Here is a 17,440-nt window from a genome sequence, read left to right as displayed (position 1 = left end):
TGCCAGGAACTTAATCTGAATTTTCTTTAAGTTATAGGGTTTTCAAAAAAAGCAATATTCCTGGAACAGGGCCATATTCCCCAATGGATTTATGCAGATTCATGGAAGAAAATTGCTGCTTGATGTGTCGATAGTCAGCAACCTTAACCAAAGCACTGTGCCCTTTTGACCACCATTACACAAGGGATAGGAGTAAATTCAACAAACACTTTCACTTGTGTTATCCTCTCTTTGTTCACTTCAATTATGTTACAAGAAATGTCAAAGAAAAACATCAATAACAGCAAAAATAATTTTTTAAAATTCCTATCACTGATCATAAAGTTTATAGAGGCTATAACATGACAACAATAATTGTTATTTTACCCAATTCTGTACTGTACCATCCCATGCATGGAGAAGATACCATACATTAATGAGATTATTTGACATTGCATTCTGTAAAACTTACAGATAAGTGTGTATACCCCTAGGAGACCTCAGGAAAAAAACCTCCTGTTTTCCTGTTTTGAATGATATTCATACACCAAGAAAAACATCCTTTGAAATGGAACTCAAGTAAACTGGAGCCTCGAGAAGGTGACATTTATTTTCTCTCAGAAGCAAACATTGTAAACAGAGAGAGGCTGTGTCACAGAAGCTGGAAAATCTAGTGTTTTGTACTGAAAATTATTTGACTGAAGCCTTAGGACAAATATAAAGGATATTCAGGAGGAAATTTGAAAGACAGTTCACATGTTAATTATAATCATCAAAACACATAAAGTTTAGAACTTCCTAACTTGCCAGAAAGACTCCAGGTTATAGAGTATTTTTGATCCAACTTTCCATCTAACAGGAAAAATAAGACTCTAAACTGCAGTCGTTCTGAGAGGAAAGAACCCTGCGGGTGTCCTACACCAATTCTTTCTTCCTTTGCTTTTCTCGTAATGTGATCACAGTGAAATGAAGTAATAATAGGAACCATTTGACTCATAACCTCACCAGATATTTATGGGAGCACAATCTTATTTATCTGTAGTTGTGATGTTTATTTGCTAGATGTTTATTTACAACGTGGGGGAGAAATGTTTTTAGACTCAAAAATATATTCATTATTAGAATTTTCTATACAAGACTTTTGTTGTACACACATGTATGTCTGAATTACAACTTTTCCTTATTTTTATTTGCATAAAGGGGTGCAACATTATCTTCTGTTACTTAGGGGAACTACATTCTCTTAAAGACTTTGGGAATATTACTGTTAATAATAAACACTAAAATGTGCATACCTGTGTGTAAGTTTTATTTCATGAATTTAGAGAGAACTGAGAACTTAATAATTTGCGATTTACTAGTGTTGGTGAGAACGTCAAACTCTGTAAAATATTTAAAGAGTTTTATTCTCAGCCAATGATGAATGACCGTGGCCCAGGGTATAGTCTCAAGAGGTCCTGGGAATGTGTACCCAAGGTGGTTAGGTTACAACTTGGTTTTATACATTTTAGGCAGAAGGAAGTTACAAAGACATCAATCACTACATGCAAGGTGTACTTTGATTTGGCCCAGAAAGGAGGGATATCTAGAAGAGGGAGGGACTTTGAGGTCCTAGGTGGATTCATAGATTTTCTTACTAGCAGTTGGTTGAAAGAAGTAAGCTTTGTATAAAGACTTAAGAAGTCAGTAGAAAGAAATGCTTGAGTTAAAATAAGGGAGGTTGTGGAAGCCAAGATTCTCATTATGTAGATGATGCCTCTAAGTGGCAGGCTTCAGAGAGAATGGATGGGGAATGTCTCAGACACTAAAAGGTATCAGACTCTTAGTTCCATCTCTCCTGGACCTGGAGAAGACCTAGAAAGGGAAGGGGATTCTTTACAGATGAAAATTTCCCACAAGAGATGGCTCTGCAGGGCCATTTCAAATGCCAAAGAAATAGATTTGGGGATAAAATATTTTGATTTCCTTGGGAGCCTGCTATCTGTCACGTGATGCTATAGTCAGGTTGAAATTTGGTATCTTATTGTCACAGAGACTCTGTCAGTCTTATGCTCTCTACTTTAAAGTTAATCCTGGTCAGCTGTGCCTAAGCTCCAGAGGAAGTGGGTATTAACGAGGCCTGTCCACCTCCCTTCCCATCATGGCCAGGAATTTGGTTTTTCAGATTTCTTGGGTCCTGTTAGATGTAGACACTGAAACCCTCCTCACAGGTTAACGAAAATTGCATTCTGGGTTCTAGACAGAAATAATTAAGCATTAATTATACTGCACCTTGGCCCACTCCCTTGTAGCTGTTTACTAACCAAAAGTCCTGTGGCACTGGGTCCTGGCCTTTTCCATCCCACTGTTTCTATAGACAGGACTCCTGACCTTAGAATCCTAAGGCTTTTGTTTCAGACTTGATTTGCAGCTCCGTTGTTCCTGTAGATAGGATTTCTGACCTCAGACGAATTGCTGAAGACGTTTTCCAGGTCCTGAGTTACAGCAGAAAATGCTGACACCAGGCAGTTTGAAGACCCCCACAGAGAAACCAAATCAGCAGGACACTGCAGTTCACTCACCACCTTCCACAACTTCACCCTGCACTCTTTGACCCATCAGCCATCTCCAATCTTGGCCCAGTATTTTATTATTATTCTTTTTTGGACAGGGTTTTAGTCTTGTCACCCAGGCCAGAATGCAGTGATGCAATCTCAGCTCACTGCAACTTCCGTCTCATGGGCTCAAGCGATTCTCCTGCCTCAGCTTCTCAAGTAACTGGGACTACAGGTTTGTACCACTACATCAGGCTACTTTTTCATATTTGTTGTAGAGACCAGGTTTTGCATTGTAGCCAAGCCTGGTCTCAAACTCCTAGGCTCAAGCAATCTACCCTCCTCGACCTTGCAAAGTACTGGGATTACAGGTGTAAGCCACTGGGCCCAGCCAAACCTTAGCCCAGTACTTGTCCAAACCCCTTAAAATCCCTAGCCCCAAACTCCTTGGGGAGGTGGATTTGAGGTTTCCTCCTGTCTCCTCCTCCGGCTGCCTTATGATTCAGCCTCTTTCTCCACTGCAACCTGGAGTCTCCGTGTATTGACTTGCTGCACATTCGGCAAGAAACCTATTGCAGTTTCAACACCTTTGTTATTTATGATTGGACCACTGAGTGGCTCAGATGGTCTTGGGATGGGGACTGGCAAAGGTGGAAAGGCCAGCATGTGATGATAGGGTTGGAGCTTTAAGCGAAGGTATCTCAGCCTGGCTTTCAAAAAAGAGACAGGAACTGATGATTGAGTTCAATTAGTCATGGCTGGATTGAGCTCAGTTAATGATTAATTAATGATTCAACTAATCACACTTGTGTAATGGAACCCCAATACAAACTCTGAACGTTGAGGCTCAGGGGAGTTTCCTGGTTGTTGAACTCATCAATGGGCTGGGAGGGGCCACATCCTGATTCCACCGGGAGAGGACACAGAAGCCCCATGCCTGGGACCTTCTCAGCCCTCACCCTATGCACCTTTTCATCCGGCTGGTCCTGGCTTGTATTCTTTCATGTTAAGCTGTAACCATAAGCACAGTACTTACCTGAGTTCTGTGAGTCATTCTGGGGAATTATCATGCCTTAGAAGGTCATGGGAAGCCTCCAGTTTTAGCCAGTTGGTTAGAAGTGTGGGTGGCCTGAGGACCCCTGAACTTGCAGCTGGCATGCCCTTGACCTGCAGGGATCTGTACTAACTCTGGCAGCCAGTGCCAGGACAGTCCTGCAGAATTGCACAAACAGGCTTTTGCTATTTTTGTCTCTAATGACACAGCCATGTGGGTTCTATGTGCTCAATGGTGACTAAAATGTTGGGTCCAGATGTTATCTCCAGCAGCTTGTGCCTAAACAGTAAATGCTTATAGGCACCACCATGCCACGCCCTGTATACATCATTCATTCAGACTCAGTAATTAATGATGTGGATCCACCAGAGTCCTCGGAGCCCCTGGGAGGGACAGGTGTCTGTGTTTAAAAGACATACGAGATAGATAGTAGGAGGGGGTGTGACTACTCCTTCAGATATATTTTTTCCTTTTTTTCTTCTCTTCACAAAACCCACACAAGCACCTCACTGACGCTCTACCACTGACCCCAAGTTTTTAGTTGCACAAAGAAAACAATAGTTCTTCCGTGCTCTAACAATGCTTCGCCATACCTTTTACTGAATAGATTCCAGAAACTGGCCTGAGGAAATCCAAACTTCGAACCAAGGTTGTGTAGTGTCCCACCTTGGGAAGAAATGCAGCGTGATTGATTCACAGCCTTGTTGCTGCCAGACAGATGGCCAAGTGACCCATGACTCAAGAAAACCACAGTGACCAGATATGCTGACCCGCATGCCCTACCCCCAGGGACTCTCCCCAGTCCAGCTGTGTACCCTACTCCTGATGTCAATTCCCACGCTTTGCCTAATTAAAAAAAAAAACCCACTGACTCTTTTTGTGGAACCAGCTGGAGTATTCTTGCACCTCCACTGTCTCCCTTGCATTCAAGCACAAGCCTCCAAATAAAAGCCTTGTCTGGGAAAACTGCTTGGCCCTGCATTAGTTTCCAGGCCATGGAACCCGAGACCCTGTGGTCTGGAACACATGGAGAATGAGGCAACAGACAGAGGTGAGATGTAGGGTTCTGTCAGCATGCTTCAAGACCTTGTCAGCATGATGTCACGTGAATTCCTTCATGAGAAGACAGCAAGATAAATTGTGGGGGTGGAATAGGAGGAGAGAAAGGTCAGGGAGTGGGGTGAGGGCAGACATGGAAATGATGACGTTGGTGGAGAATGAGACCAGCAGGTGGAAAGGATGACTGGGGTTGGGGAGGAGCAGAGGAATGTGAGGGTGGTCAGGGCACAGGAGGACTGATGAGTTCTGGAGTCCCTGGCCTCAGGGGGCTTCCTGTCATGTCCACAAACCAAGAACGTGGGAGAACCATGTCCTTGTCTTGCCCCGTAGGCTTTGGGAGCACTCATTTGAGGATTTCCCATGAGGTAAGCTCCATGACACGTCAGCTCCATGACACGTCAGCTCCCTGACACATCAGCTCCATGAAGGAAGAACTAGTATTTGTCACGTGCGTCCATGTGAAGAGACCACCAGACAGGCTTTGTGTGAGCAATAAAACTTTTTAATCACCTGGGTGCAGGCGGGCTGAGTCCGAAAAGGTAGTCAGCAAAGGGAGAGAGGGGTGGGGCAGGAACAAATCATAATGGTAGAATGTCATCTTTTGTGGTTCTTCAGTTGCTCCAGGCCATCTGGATGTATACGTGCAGGTCACAGGGGTTATGATGGCTTAGCTTGGGCTCAGAGGCCTGACAGTATCATATTCTTTTTATGGGTGAGGAAACCCAACCTGGGAATGTGAAATTTCTCTCTCCAGGCCCCCCCATTTGTTAGGTGGGGAAGGATTTGGTCCATATGGTGTGACTCCACAACCCACTGTCTTCTCCACCAAAGAAGCAAGAATGCGTCATTGCAAAGTCTTGAGCAGATGACTGTGGAGAGCAATTTCTCAGACCTGTGAGGCTACTGAGCCCTTGCAATGGGGCAAGTTGAAACTGCAATTTGCTATAAGTTTGAAATGCACCCTGGATTCACAAGACTTAGTATAAAAAAAGTAAACTGTTTTATTACTAATTTTTATATTGATGATATGTTGGAATAAAAATATTTTGGATCTACTGAGTTAAATAAAATGTTACTGAAATTAATATCACCTGCTTCTTATTGCATTTTTAAAATGTGGCTGTTGGAAAATATTTTTAAACATTATTTATGTGGCTTGCATTATGACATCACAAATAAAATTGAATTGTATTTCTATTGCTTAAGTTCTACTGACCAGTAAAGTGCTGCTTTGAAGAATCAGACTAGGAGATGGTTTGGGAGAAGAACCAGACAAGGCCTGGAGAGGAGGACCAGGCACCCAGACAGCACAAGGCACCCCCGCTGGGGTCTCTTAGACTGAGTTACCCAAGCACAAGGAATGAGTAATTGAAAAATATTGTCATTGGCCCCAATCAGCGCTTCCTCTGTTCCCTGCTGGGCCCATTGGAGTGTGCCCCTCCTGGTGACAGTGCTGTGGAGTAGCTCTGCAGGGTGCAGTGGGAGGAGGGGCTGGCTCATTACCGGTTTTGTGATGCTAAAGAGATTCCAGCACTGACTGCACCTGTTGGGAGGGAGTAGGGGTGAGCGGAAACACTTCTCATCAGCTCATTGAGCAAGGAGGCAGTGTTTCCAACAGAGCAAGCTAATTTACCTTTTAACTTAAAGGGTTCTTGCTTTTCTGTAAGTAGAAATGAGTCTTCACTTTTGAGCAGAGGTTGGCAGGGAGCCCACAGCCTTCATTATATCCCAACTGGCATTGTATCCAATATCATCGCCAATGTCCACAATGTAATTGGGGATATTTTGATTTGCTCTTTGCCGGAGACTGGGATCAGCTCCAAGACGTTGTACACGTAGGTGTCGGGTCCCTACAGGCTGGGCTTGCCCATTTATGTTGAGCCTCAATCATCTGTGACTCCAAAGTTGCAGACCACCCTGGTGCTCAGGGGTTCTTGTGGGTAGGCGGGCCAACAGCTATTGCCCGGCTGTCAGCAATGCCCTTAGCCTCCCGCAGTGCTCCCGGCGCTGTCCTCCACTGCTGGGACTGAAATTGGAAGAAGGTTGAGAGTCTGTGACTTGGGAGTTGACAGCATCTCCCAGGTGCTGTGGACTCGCATTTGGCGTTTACTTTCTGCTTTTCAATGCAGTTGTTCTCATGTCTCTCTCACCAGTGATGCTCCTTCAGGACACAGAGGGTCCTGGCTCTCTCTGTGTCCCTAAGCATCTCCTACACCTGCCAGGATGGCACCCTGCAGGGACGAGGTTATAAACAGAGTCCAGCCAGATCCAGGGCCCTTGGTTCTGCTGTCCTGGCTTTCTTACCTAATAACCGACAGCCTCATCTGTGTGCTCTGCCCACTACACCTGTAGGTCCTGCCCACCGCATGTGAGCCACATTCCCCAAGCTATTACCTGTAAGATCAGATAATAAAATGTGTGTAAAGCACATCACAGTGATTTTAAGGTGGGGCCTCCCCAGGGTGAGAAAGTGCTGGCATCCAACGGCTTAGCTGATGCCTGCAGCGGTGTGTGAAGTCCACACGTCAAGACTAGGTCTGTTCTCTCCACTTCATCTCCAGCATCTACAGGAGTCTTTTTGTTGAATGAAGGAGACACTGATAAAGGCCAGAGGTATCCAGAGGGAAATAATCTGTACACAAACGTCTTGCCCTAGAGAGGAGGGTCCCTCACTATCGACACCACCGCTCGGACAGTCCTGTCCTCCAGGTCCTCCCTGCCCCCAGTTCAAGTGAGGCACCTACCATCGTGTAGGTTGAACTAAACCTCTAGGATTCAAGACAACACCCATTGAATTTACGTTTTGTTTTCTCCAGACACACCGTAAAGGGTAGATCTTGTGCCTGGTTGTTGATAAAGTAACATGCTGATTGATAAAATAATATGCAGGCTCCTCGCTGCTCCCTCTTCCCTAATAAATGGGTGTGCAGGATGAATCTCGCAATCATAGCATTATGCACAAGAAGAAGGCGGTGAGGAGCACCTGGAGGCAGCTGAGTGGCTTGAGTGGACTTGTTCTGAGTCTTTACAGCTCTAGTAAATGACTCGGGCATGGGCCCTGCAGCAGCACAATTGTAATGGCCCAGCAGGTACTTCCTGCCCACTGCACAGGAAAAGTCAATCAACCAAGAAGGCGGCATTGCAGGAGAGTGTAATTGATGCCAGGCCAGCCCATGTGGGAGAACTGGTGTTATCACCCAAATCAGTCTCCCAGCAGGCTCACAGGTTTGGGTTCTATGAACAATTTTTTGGGCAGGGGGCTAGGGAAGGGGTGCTGCTGATTGATTAGAGATGAAACAATGGGGTGAGAAAAAAAGTCTTCATGTGCTGAGTCCACCCTTGGGTGGGACCACAGGATCAGCTAAGTCATGAGTCCAGGTAGGGTCAAGTCTGAAAAGCAACTCTGGAAAAAAAACAATCTTAGGTTCTAAAAGCGTGAAGTTATGTATGGAGCAGTGGGGAGAGTCATGAAGCTTGTGGCTTCTGTCCACATGGCCCCTGAGCAGTAAGGGATTATAGACACTATGCACAGCTTATCAGAATTCACACCCTTCTCATCATCCCAACCTCGTGGCCTTTCATTAGTTTTACAAAAGCAATTTAGGGTTGGGAAGGGCTATTATCATCTTTGCTTTAAGGTTTAACTAAACTAAATTCCTGCCAAAGTTAGCCTGACCTACACTGAGGAAGGACCAAAGACAGCTTGTAGGTCAGAAGCAAGATGGACTCAACTCTGTCACATTTCTCTTGCTGTCATCATTTTGCAAATGTGTTTTCACAATCCCTACTTGGTTGTAATAAACTATGTCTTCTATGGTTTTCTTCTCCAGAATTCTCCCTGGCCCTCCTGCTCACCCAGAAGAGGCTTTTTGTCAGTGAGGCTGCTGTGCATTGGGAAAGGGTCAGACTCGGCACCCAGGACACAGGGAGGGCTGCCACACTGTGACCTTCTGCCCCAGCCGAGGGATGATCCAGCCTCAGGGGGAAAAGGCAGCCTTCTGGGGGTGCATCCTGGAAGCCCATCCTGCCCTGGAACATGGGTCCCTTCCAGGTGTGACATCCCAGGTGTGCTCTGCCTGTCTCCTACCTTCTCCTTCTTCCCCAGGAGACCCCAGGAATCAGAGTGAGGATGTATCCCCATGAGGGCAGGGGCTGGCTGTGCTTTAAGGGTTCAAGGCGTCAGCCAGAAAGTGCGGGAAGAAAGAGGAGAGAAGCAATTGAGGGACGGTTTGTTATTTAGAGGACTGTGTATGTGTGTGTGCGTGCATGTGTGTGCATGTGTGTGTCTGTGCGTGTGTGGACTGTGTGTGTGTGGACTGTGTGTGTGCGTGCGTGTGTGCATATGTGTGTCTGTGCATGTGTGGACTGTGTGTGTGCATGTGTGCGTGTGTGGACTGTGTGTGTGCATGTGTGAGTGCGTGTGTGTGGCCTGTGTGTGTGTGCGTGTGTGTGTGTGTGTGTGTGTAAGGGGCTTTTGAGACAGCTTCCCATGGTTCAGGACCATAGGAAGATTAATGTGGGAACTGGGGGACAATTTTGCTATTTGGTACATAATGGGACTTCTCTTCACAGGCCCCGAGGAAAGCTGTCAATGAATATTTATTTTACACTGTAAGGCGTTTGGAGTCAAATTCATTTCTCTTGGATGTGTAACCAGGCTGGGACGGGACTTAAAGCAAATAGGGAAAGAATACAGATTTATCTGGATTTCATGATGTTTTGAGACGAATCTATGACTGATCTTGGTGTTTAATAGCAAACTATTGAATAAGTAAAAAAACATTATGAAGAACCTATGGCCCTTTCCATCATTTTATGAGATTCCTAATTAATTTAAGATACACTGAACGCTTCAAGTGTGTGTCTTCTGTTTGCATTTAGGCAACATGGAGGTGGGGGATGCAGCTCCTTGGCCGCCGTTCACCACTAGAGTCTGCACCTGCCAGGCACACAGCAGACACAGGTATGCTTGTTAAAGAATAGAGAATTTGCTTTATTTTCCTAGGCACATGTTATAAATTCTCCCTGTTTCCCTTATTTAACAGTGGTTTCTATAGAATTTTTTCTCATGGAGAAAGTTCTCATCTATAAGCTGAACTTCCAGAATGCCAGAGTGAGATGCTGAAGGATGGGAAGTCCAAAGGAGAGTCCTCCTCCCTCCACCCTCCTCCCTTCCTCCTTTCCTCCTCCCCCTCTCCCTCCTTTCCTCCTCCCTCTCCCCTACTCTGCTTCCTTCTTTCCTTCTTAACCTTTCTTCCTCCCTTCCTTCCTCCCTTCCTCCTTTCTTCTCCCTTTCTCTCCCTCTCTGTCTCCCTCATGAGATGCCAAGAGAAGGAGGTGATGCCCTTTCCTTTCCTGTTGGATACTGTTAGGCAAGGCTGCCAAAGGCTAATAGCCCCCTCTGAGCTGGAATACACCATGACCAAGAAGCAGGTGAACCCACCTACCTCCTCCAAGCAAGTGCCCTGACATGCTCTGGACCCTGGCAGGCTCCCTTGGGCAACTTGAGGGTCCTCAACCACCAGGAGAGGGGCATATCATATCCACCCATCATGGGGGCTGAGGGTTGCAGTAAAGGCCTTTCCTGGAATCTCGTTTCTTGATGTGGCTCCAAGAACTTCAGGGGTCCCCAGCACGTGGCCTCGGGCCGGGCTCCCAGAGAGTTATCTGTAGATGGTGGCTATCCCCCTCCCGATCCTCTGAGCTCTTTCCCACGGTTATAATAAAGGTGGTCTCAGGGATCGGTGGCCAAATGGAGTTCAGCTACTCCCACACAAGTGCTCTGACACCATGAAGAAGAGAAAGGGAATTGTGCGCTCCTGTTGCCATGGTGACAAGTGGAGAGAGACAGATAGAGAGATGGGGTGAGAGAGAGAGAGACTAAGAGAGAGAGAAAATCAGAGGGAGAGGATCTTGTTGCCCCTTTCTGCTGTCCTGTGAAACCTGGTGGTGCCTGTGGCTTCCTGGGCATGATTAAGGTGTGCAGCCCCTTCCCAACCACTCAATGTCCCTTCCCCATATCGTGAGACATCCATCCCCCGCAGAAGACATGGACACTCAGGGGGCCATGCCAGCATCTTCCTGCAGAAGTGAGAACGTGGGATCTCCAGGTTCTGGGAAGGACTCAGCAGGGCCCCCGCAAGTCTCCTCAGGAGGGCTTCCAGTGCTCCCCAGAAGTGAGGGCTTCTAGTGCTCCCCAGGACTGAGGGCTTCCAGTGCTCCCCAGGAGGGCTTCCAGTACTCCCCAGGAGTGAGGTCTTCCAGTGCTCCCCAGGAGTGAGGGCTTCCAGCGCTCCCCAGGACTGAGGGCTTCCAGCGCTCCCCAGGACTGAGGGCTTCCAGCGCTATCCAGGAGTGAGGGCTTCCAGTGCTCCCCAGGAGTGAGGGCTTCCAGAGCTCTCCAGGAGTAAAGGCATCCAGTACTCCCCAGGAGGGCTTTGGTGCTCCCCAGGAGTGAGGGCTTCCAGCGCTCCCCAGGAGTGAAGGCATCTAGTGCTCCCCAGGAGGGCTTTGGTGCTCCCCAAGAGTAAGGGCTTCCAGAGCTCCCCAGGAGTGAAGGCATCTAGTGCTCCCCAGGAGGGCTTTGGTGCTCCCCAAGAGTAAGGGCTTCCAGAGCTCCCCAGGAGTGAAGGCATCCAGTGCTCCCCAGGAGGGCTTCCAGTGCCCCCCAGGGGTGAGGGCTTCCAGGGCTCCCCAGGGATGAGGGCTTCCAGGGCTCCCCAGGACTAAGGGCTTTCAGTGCTCCCCAGGAGTGAGGGAATCCACTGCTCCCCAGGAGTGAGGGCATCTAGTCCTCCCCAGGAAGGGTTTGACAATTCAGTCCCTCACAGCCCTGTTTCACTCATTTAAGGAAAGGCTCATATTTTATTGTTTTTCTTGACTCATTGTCATTTCTTAACACCCTGCTAATAGCTTCCCTTACAACTTCTGCTTTCAGGGAATCCACCAAGATGCAGGAGACGAGAGACATTTCCAGAACTACTGTGTTCCAGCCAACACTGATAAGGAGAAGATTGGGCTCTGTTCGTCTTGTGGTAGCCCCAGAGCTAGTGGAGGCAGAGAGAAAAGTGCAGGCAATCAAATGAGCCACTGGAGCCCTTGGTTGCCCCATACCCCACGTTACTCTCCATGGGCAGGTGCTGGTTGCCCCGTACCTCATGTTACTCTCCATGGGCAGGTGCTGCACCTGCAGCCTGACAAAGACACGGAGCCAAGAGGCTCAGAGCCCTCAGGGACAAGAGTCAGCAACCACCACGTGAGCCACCCAGCCCAGGAAGAGTGCCAGCTGGGGGCAGGGGATGCAACCTGGAGGATGGAGGCAGGCAAGGAGCAGCCGGCTGCCTGGGGTGGGCTGTGGCATGGGGGCTGCACTTCATCTGAACAGCCCTCCCTGGAGCTGTGCCTGGCAAGGGTCCCAGGGAAGCTGTGTCTGGACAGAGGATTTAACGTGAGGAGCAAGTGGACTGGAACAGTACAAGGCAAGGACTCAGTGGATGCTTCAGGTGCCGGCCCCATTCCTGGCTGGTGCACTCACACTACTGTGGCTGTGAGCATTCCCCAGAGTGAAGCCACTCTATCCCTAACCCCCACCACTCCCCATATGCTATCTTACCCCACCCCGATACCCTATCTTACCCCACCCCCCATACCCTATCTTACCCCGCCCCCCATACCCTATTTTACCCCACCCCGATACCCTATCTTACCCCACCCCGATACCCTATCTTACCCCACCCCGATACCCTATCTTACCCCACTCCCCATACCCTATCTTACCCCACCCCCCATACCCTATCTTACCCCACCCCGATACCCTATCTTACCCCACCCCCCATACCCTATCTTACCCCATCCCCGATACCCTATCTTACCGCACCCCGATACCCTATCTTACCCCACCCTGATACCCTATCTTACCCCACCCCCCATACCCTATCTTACCCCACCCCGATACCCTATCTTACCCCACCCCCATACCCTATCTTACCCCACCCCGATACCCTATCTTACCCCACTCCCCATACCCTATCTTACCCCACCCCCCATACCCTATCTTACCCCACCCCGATACCCTATCTTACCCCACCCCGATACCCTATCTTACCCCACTCCCCATACCCTATCTTACCCCACCCCCCATACCCTATCTTACCCCACCCCGATACCCTATCTTACCCCACCCCCCATACCCTATCTTACTCCCACCCCCGACACCCTATCTTACCCCACTCCCCATACCCTATCTTACCCCACTCCCGATACCCTATCTTACCCCACCCCCATACCCTATCTTACCCCACCCCCCATACCCTATCTTACCCCACCCCCCATACCCTATCTTACCCCACCCCCCATACCCTATCTTACCCCACTCCCCATACCCTATCTTACCCCACCCCCCATACCCTATCTTACCCCACTCCCGATACCCTATCTTACCCCACCCCCCATACCCTATCTTACCCCACCCCCCATACCCTATCTTACCCCACCCCCCATACCCTATCTTACCCCACCCCCGACACCCTATCTTACCCCACCCCCCATACCCTATCTTACCCCACCCCCCATACCCTATCTTACCCCGCCCCCCATACCCTATCTTACCCCACCCCCCATACCCTATCTTACTCCACTCCCCATACCCTATCTTACCCCGCCCCCCATACCCTATCTTATCCCACTCCCGACACCCTATCTTACCCCACTCCCGATACCCTATCTTACCCCACCCCCCATACCCTATCTTACCCCACCCCCAACACCCTATCTTTCTTCCCCATCTCTTGAGAGTGATCCTCACAATACATCAACTGATGCTTCCAGGGCTCCGGACTGAGGCCAGTTGCTTTGCAGAATCTGCAGACTCTAGGCTTTCAGGGGATGTGTTAGACTGCATCTTAAGGATTTGATGTTCTCCCATTTCAGTGCCTATACAAAGCTCTCCTGATGCCAAGAAAGGTGAACAGCTGAGCTATTAGCCTCCCAGCAGGATGAGTTCCACCGGCACTCCCAGCCTGCTCTTTCACACAGATGCGCTGCTGGGTCTAAAATTAGGAGCACGAGGGCTGATTATGGACCCTTGACACCATTAGCATTGATATGCAAAATTTATTTCCATCCAATCTGCAGAGCAATCCAAATTGCCCTGTGAAAGCAGGGCCTGAAGTCTTTGGATGTTGGCCAGGCTGAGCTGAAGTCCCCCAGGGCACAGTCCCCGAGCAGCTCTGCTATTTGCATAAATATTGGCATATGTCCACCCTCTTCCTGTTAGCCACAATTAACCACGCAGCACACTCAGCTCAGCATCTCTGGAGCTGCAACCTGATTTACAAAGAAAGCTCCCATTAGATCCCTTGAACATCTCCTGTAATTAGACCAAGGAGAGATGTGGTGGGGATTCCAGCAGCGGCCTCTTCTGAAAAGTCCACACGGTTTCCCCGTGGGTTTGCTGCTGAGAAATCCACTGGTGCCATTTCAGTCTGTCAAGCTTAACGCTGAACATACCCTTACACATTTCACGCTCTCACAAGTCGATGAAACACAGATGGACCCTGGAGTTTGGGAATGTTATATGTAAATGCTTGTTCCCTGGTGCCGCAAAGAAATAGCACTCAAACATAAATTGAATCGTCTCGGCAAGGCAATCTTTACTTTCTATGGAAAGGGTGCTAATCACAGATGGAATAATGGTCAGAGCACACCCGAACAAAGGAGGGAAGCAATCTTTATTCCTTATACACTTTGTCCCTGCTACTGGGTCCTGTCTCCATTGGCTGGAGTCAGACCACACAATTTAAACTAAAACCCGATTGGCTAACAGTTTAAAACTTTTCTAAATAGGTAAAAGTAAGGGAAAGACAAAGGAAAAGAGGAAGTTGCTTATGCCAAATAGGGAAGGGGCATAGGCCACGAGCTGGAGCGTGCCTGTGAGCATGTCCGGCACAAAAATCTTGGTGAAGGTACAAGGACATGGAACGTACTACGTGCCTGTCAGCATGTTTAACAGGTACATAGGATAGGGCCCAACAAAGAGTCACTAGCATAAAGTAAGGAAGCTTAAAGGAAGTTAGTCTTTAAAAGAAACTATTATTTCTAACACTTATGGCTTATTTTTTAACAAGGAGGGAAACTTTGAAGAGGAACTTTTTACTTTCTGCAGGGAACTTGGCCAGCTGTGAGGCCCCTGTGAGCTGTGGATGTTTGCTTCTTTCTTCACGGTTGGGACCGACTCCTGCCTTCTGCTGGGTTCTGCCGAGAATGCGTGAGAGAAGTTTCCTCCATTCCCTGTTGGGCTCATGAATGTGGACTCTGGGACTGAAAGGTTGTGACCTGTATTAGTCTGTTCTCACATTGCTGTAAAGAAATGACTGAGGCTGTGTTATTGATAAAGAAAAGAGGTTTCATTGGTTATGTTTCCACAGGCTGCATGGTTCCTCCCTGAGTGGCTGGGAAGGCCTCCAGGAGCTTTCACTTACGGTGCAAGAGGAAGGGGAAGCAGGCACATTGACATGGGGAGAACAGGAGGAAGAGGAGTGGGAGCGACCACACACATTTAAACAACCAGATCTCATGAGAACTCACTCACCGGAACAGCGCGAGGGGAATTGTACTAAACCATTAGAAACTGCCCCAGGATCCAGTCATCTCCAGGTCCCACCTCCAGCACTGGGAATTAAAATTGAAGATGAGATTCACGTGGGGACACAGATTCAAACCCTATCATGATGAATCCGTGTATACCAAGCACCTCATTGGCTAGGATGGGGCCTCTCTTGCTATGCACAACACTCAAGTGAGAGAAAACCCTAATATTGTCTTAAATAATATGGACACTCATTGACCTAACAGGAGGCCTAGAGGTATCAGGTCTCAAGCTTGGTTTTGTGGCTCTTCTTTACTCCACTGTTCTTGTCATGTTGTTCCTCATTCTGAAGCATTTTACTTCCTGATCCTAAAAGAGTTGCCACTGCTCCTGGTATCACATCATCACAGCAACATCCAGAACTGGGAGAGAATGGAGAAGCAGCACAGGCCCACCTTATAGCGTCTTGTAGCAATTCTCTAATATACCAGGGAGGTGAATCTTCCTGAAGAGCAGCTAGTACCTAAAGAATACCTTGTGTATTATTTATACAAAAGTGAACTCAAAATGGATCAAAGATCAAAATGCAAAATGTAAAACTGTAACACTTTTAGAAGAAAATGTCAGAAAAAGCCTTGACTTATTGCTAGACAAAAAATTATTAGATATGATACCAAGACACAATCCATAAAAATAATATTGATAAATTGGACTTTATATTAAAATTAAAAATGTCTGCTCTGTGAAGGATCTTGTTAAGATAATGAAAACATGAGACACATACTGGAGAAATATTTTCAAGCCACACACCTGATAGGACCTAAATCTAAAATCTGTAAGAACTCTGAACACAACAATACAAAATCAAACCATCCAATTAGCAAATTGGCAAAAGATGTGAACAAACACTTCACTAAGATTCATGGGTGCCTCTTTCTTTAGAGAACTGAGTGGCGAAGAAGCACCTGAAAGATATTTACCATCCTTAAACATTAGGAGTATGCAAATTAGATCTAAAGTGAAGTAATACTACACACCTATCGGAATAGGTAAAAGAAAAAATACTTGACAATACCAAGTGCTATAAAGCATATGCAACAGCTGGAATCTCACACATTGCTGGTGGGAATGTAAAGGGTACATCCATTCTGCACCATGATTTGTCAGTTTCTTACACAGTTACGCATATATTTACCCTATGACCCGGCAATGACACGCCTGGATATTTACTTTAGAGAAAAGAAAACTGATGATCATATAAAAACTGGTGCTCAAATGTTCATAGCAGCTTTATTTGTAATTGCTGTAAACTGAAAACTACCCACATGTTTTTCAAGAGTGAAATGGATAAACTGTGGAAGATCCATGCAATGAACAGCAGCTACTCAGCCATCAAAGGGAATAGAGGCCGGGCACAGTGGCTCATGCCTGTAATCCCAGCACTTTGGGAGGCTGAGGCTAGTAGATCACTTAAGGTCAAGAGTTCAAGACCAGCCTGGTCAACATGGCAAAACCCTGTCTCTACTAAAAATACAAAAATTAGCCAGGCGTGGCAGTGCGTGCCATTAATCCCAGCTACTCAGGAGACTGAGGCAGGAGAATTGCTTGAACCTGGGAGGCAGAGGTTGGAGTGAGCCAGGATTGTGCCACTGCACTCCAGCCTGGGTGACAGAGGGAGACTCCATCTCAAAAACAACAACAATAAACAACAATAACAACAACAAAAGGGAATGGAATGCTGATGTGCTGATGTGCACACTGGCCTGAAAGGGTCTCAGGGCATCACGCTGAATGACGAAAGCCAGTCTCAAATGGTGGCATCTGTACAACTGCATTCATGCAATGCTCTAGAAATGATGACACTATAGAGACGGAGAACGCATCAACGGTGGCCAGGGCTCAGGCTCAGCAAGGACAGGACCAGTGGGGTAGCAGGAGGGAGATTCTTTGTGGTGCTACAAGTTCTGCATCCTGGTTACGTGGATGATGGCTTGAATTTTTATGTGATCAATTTTATTAGAATGATATGCCAAACCTTAAAAAAATAGTTCATACAAAAACAAATGAAATCCAAGACTGTTTGAGTCACCAGTATTGCACCTGTGCCAGTCTCCTGCTTTTGATGACGTGGGGTTTGTGTGAGACGTTATCATGGAGGGAGACAAGGGGAAGGGTGACCGGGCACTCATGGTATGACTGTTGCAACTTATGAGGTCCTTAAGCTATTTC

General features: G+C 47.5%; 4 annotated features.

The window, feature by feature from the left end:
- Window positions 4,336-5,535: an enhancer, noted in NCBI's record as "BRD4-independent group 4 enhancer chr10:132848100-132849299 (GRCh37/hg19 assembly coordinates)". NCBI's record gives its function as "activates an origin of replication core promoter dependent on BRD2, P300/CBP, MED14 and CDK7 cofactors, and independent of BRD4, by STARR-seq in HCT116 cells {active_cell/tissue: HCT116}" and the evidence as "EXISTENCE:reporter gene assay evidence [ECO:0000049][PMID:35650434]".
- Window positions 5,706-6,227: an enhancer, noted in NCBI's record as "OCT4-NANOG-H3K4me1 hESC enhancer chr10:132847408-132847929 (GRCh37/hg19 assembly coordinates)". NCBI's record gives its function as "activates a minimal SCP1, AML or CMV promoter by ChIP-STARR-seq in naive and primed H9 embryonic stem cells {active_cell/tissue: H9 hESC(naive and primed)}" and the evidence as "EXISTENCE:reporter gene assay evidence [ECO:0000049][PMID:30033119]".
- Window positions 6,228-6,750: an enhancer, noted in NCBI's record as "OCT4-NANOG-H3K27ac-H3K4me1 hESC enhancer chr10:132846885-132847407 (GRCh37/hg19 assembly coordinates)". NCBI's record gives its function as "activates a minimal SCP1, AML or CMV promoter by ChIP-STARR-seq in primed H9 embryonic stem cells {active_cell/tissue: H9 hESC(primed)}" and the evidence as "EXISTENCE:reporter gene assay evidence [ECO:0000049][PMID:30033119]".
- Window positions 7,273-7,796: an enhancer, noted in NCBI's record as "H3K27ac hESC enhancer chr10:132845839-132846362 (GRCh37/hg19 assembly coordinates)". NCBI's record gives its function as "activates a minimal SCP1, AML or CMV promoter by ChIP-STARR-seq in naive H9 embryonic stem cells {active_cell/tissue: H9 hESC(naive)}" and the evidence as "EXISTENCE:reporter gene assay evidence [ECO:0000049][PMID:30033119]".

Source organism: Homo sapiens, chromosome 10 (assembly GCF_000001405.40).
Source record: "Homo sapiens chromosome 10, GRCh38.p14 Primary Assembly".
Classification (NCBI taxonomy): domain Eukaryota; kingdom Metazoa; phylum Chordata; class Mammalia; order Primates; family Hominidae; genus Homo; species Homo sapiens.
Note: the sequence above shows the minus strand (reverse complement) of the source record. Positions and strands in the feature narration are given on the sequence as shown.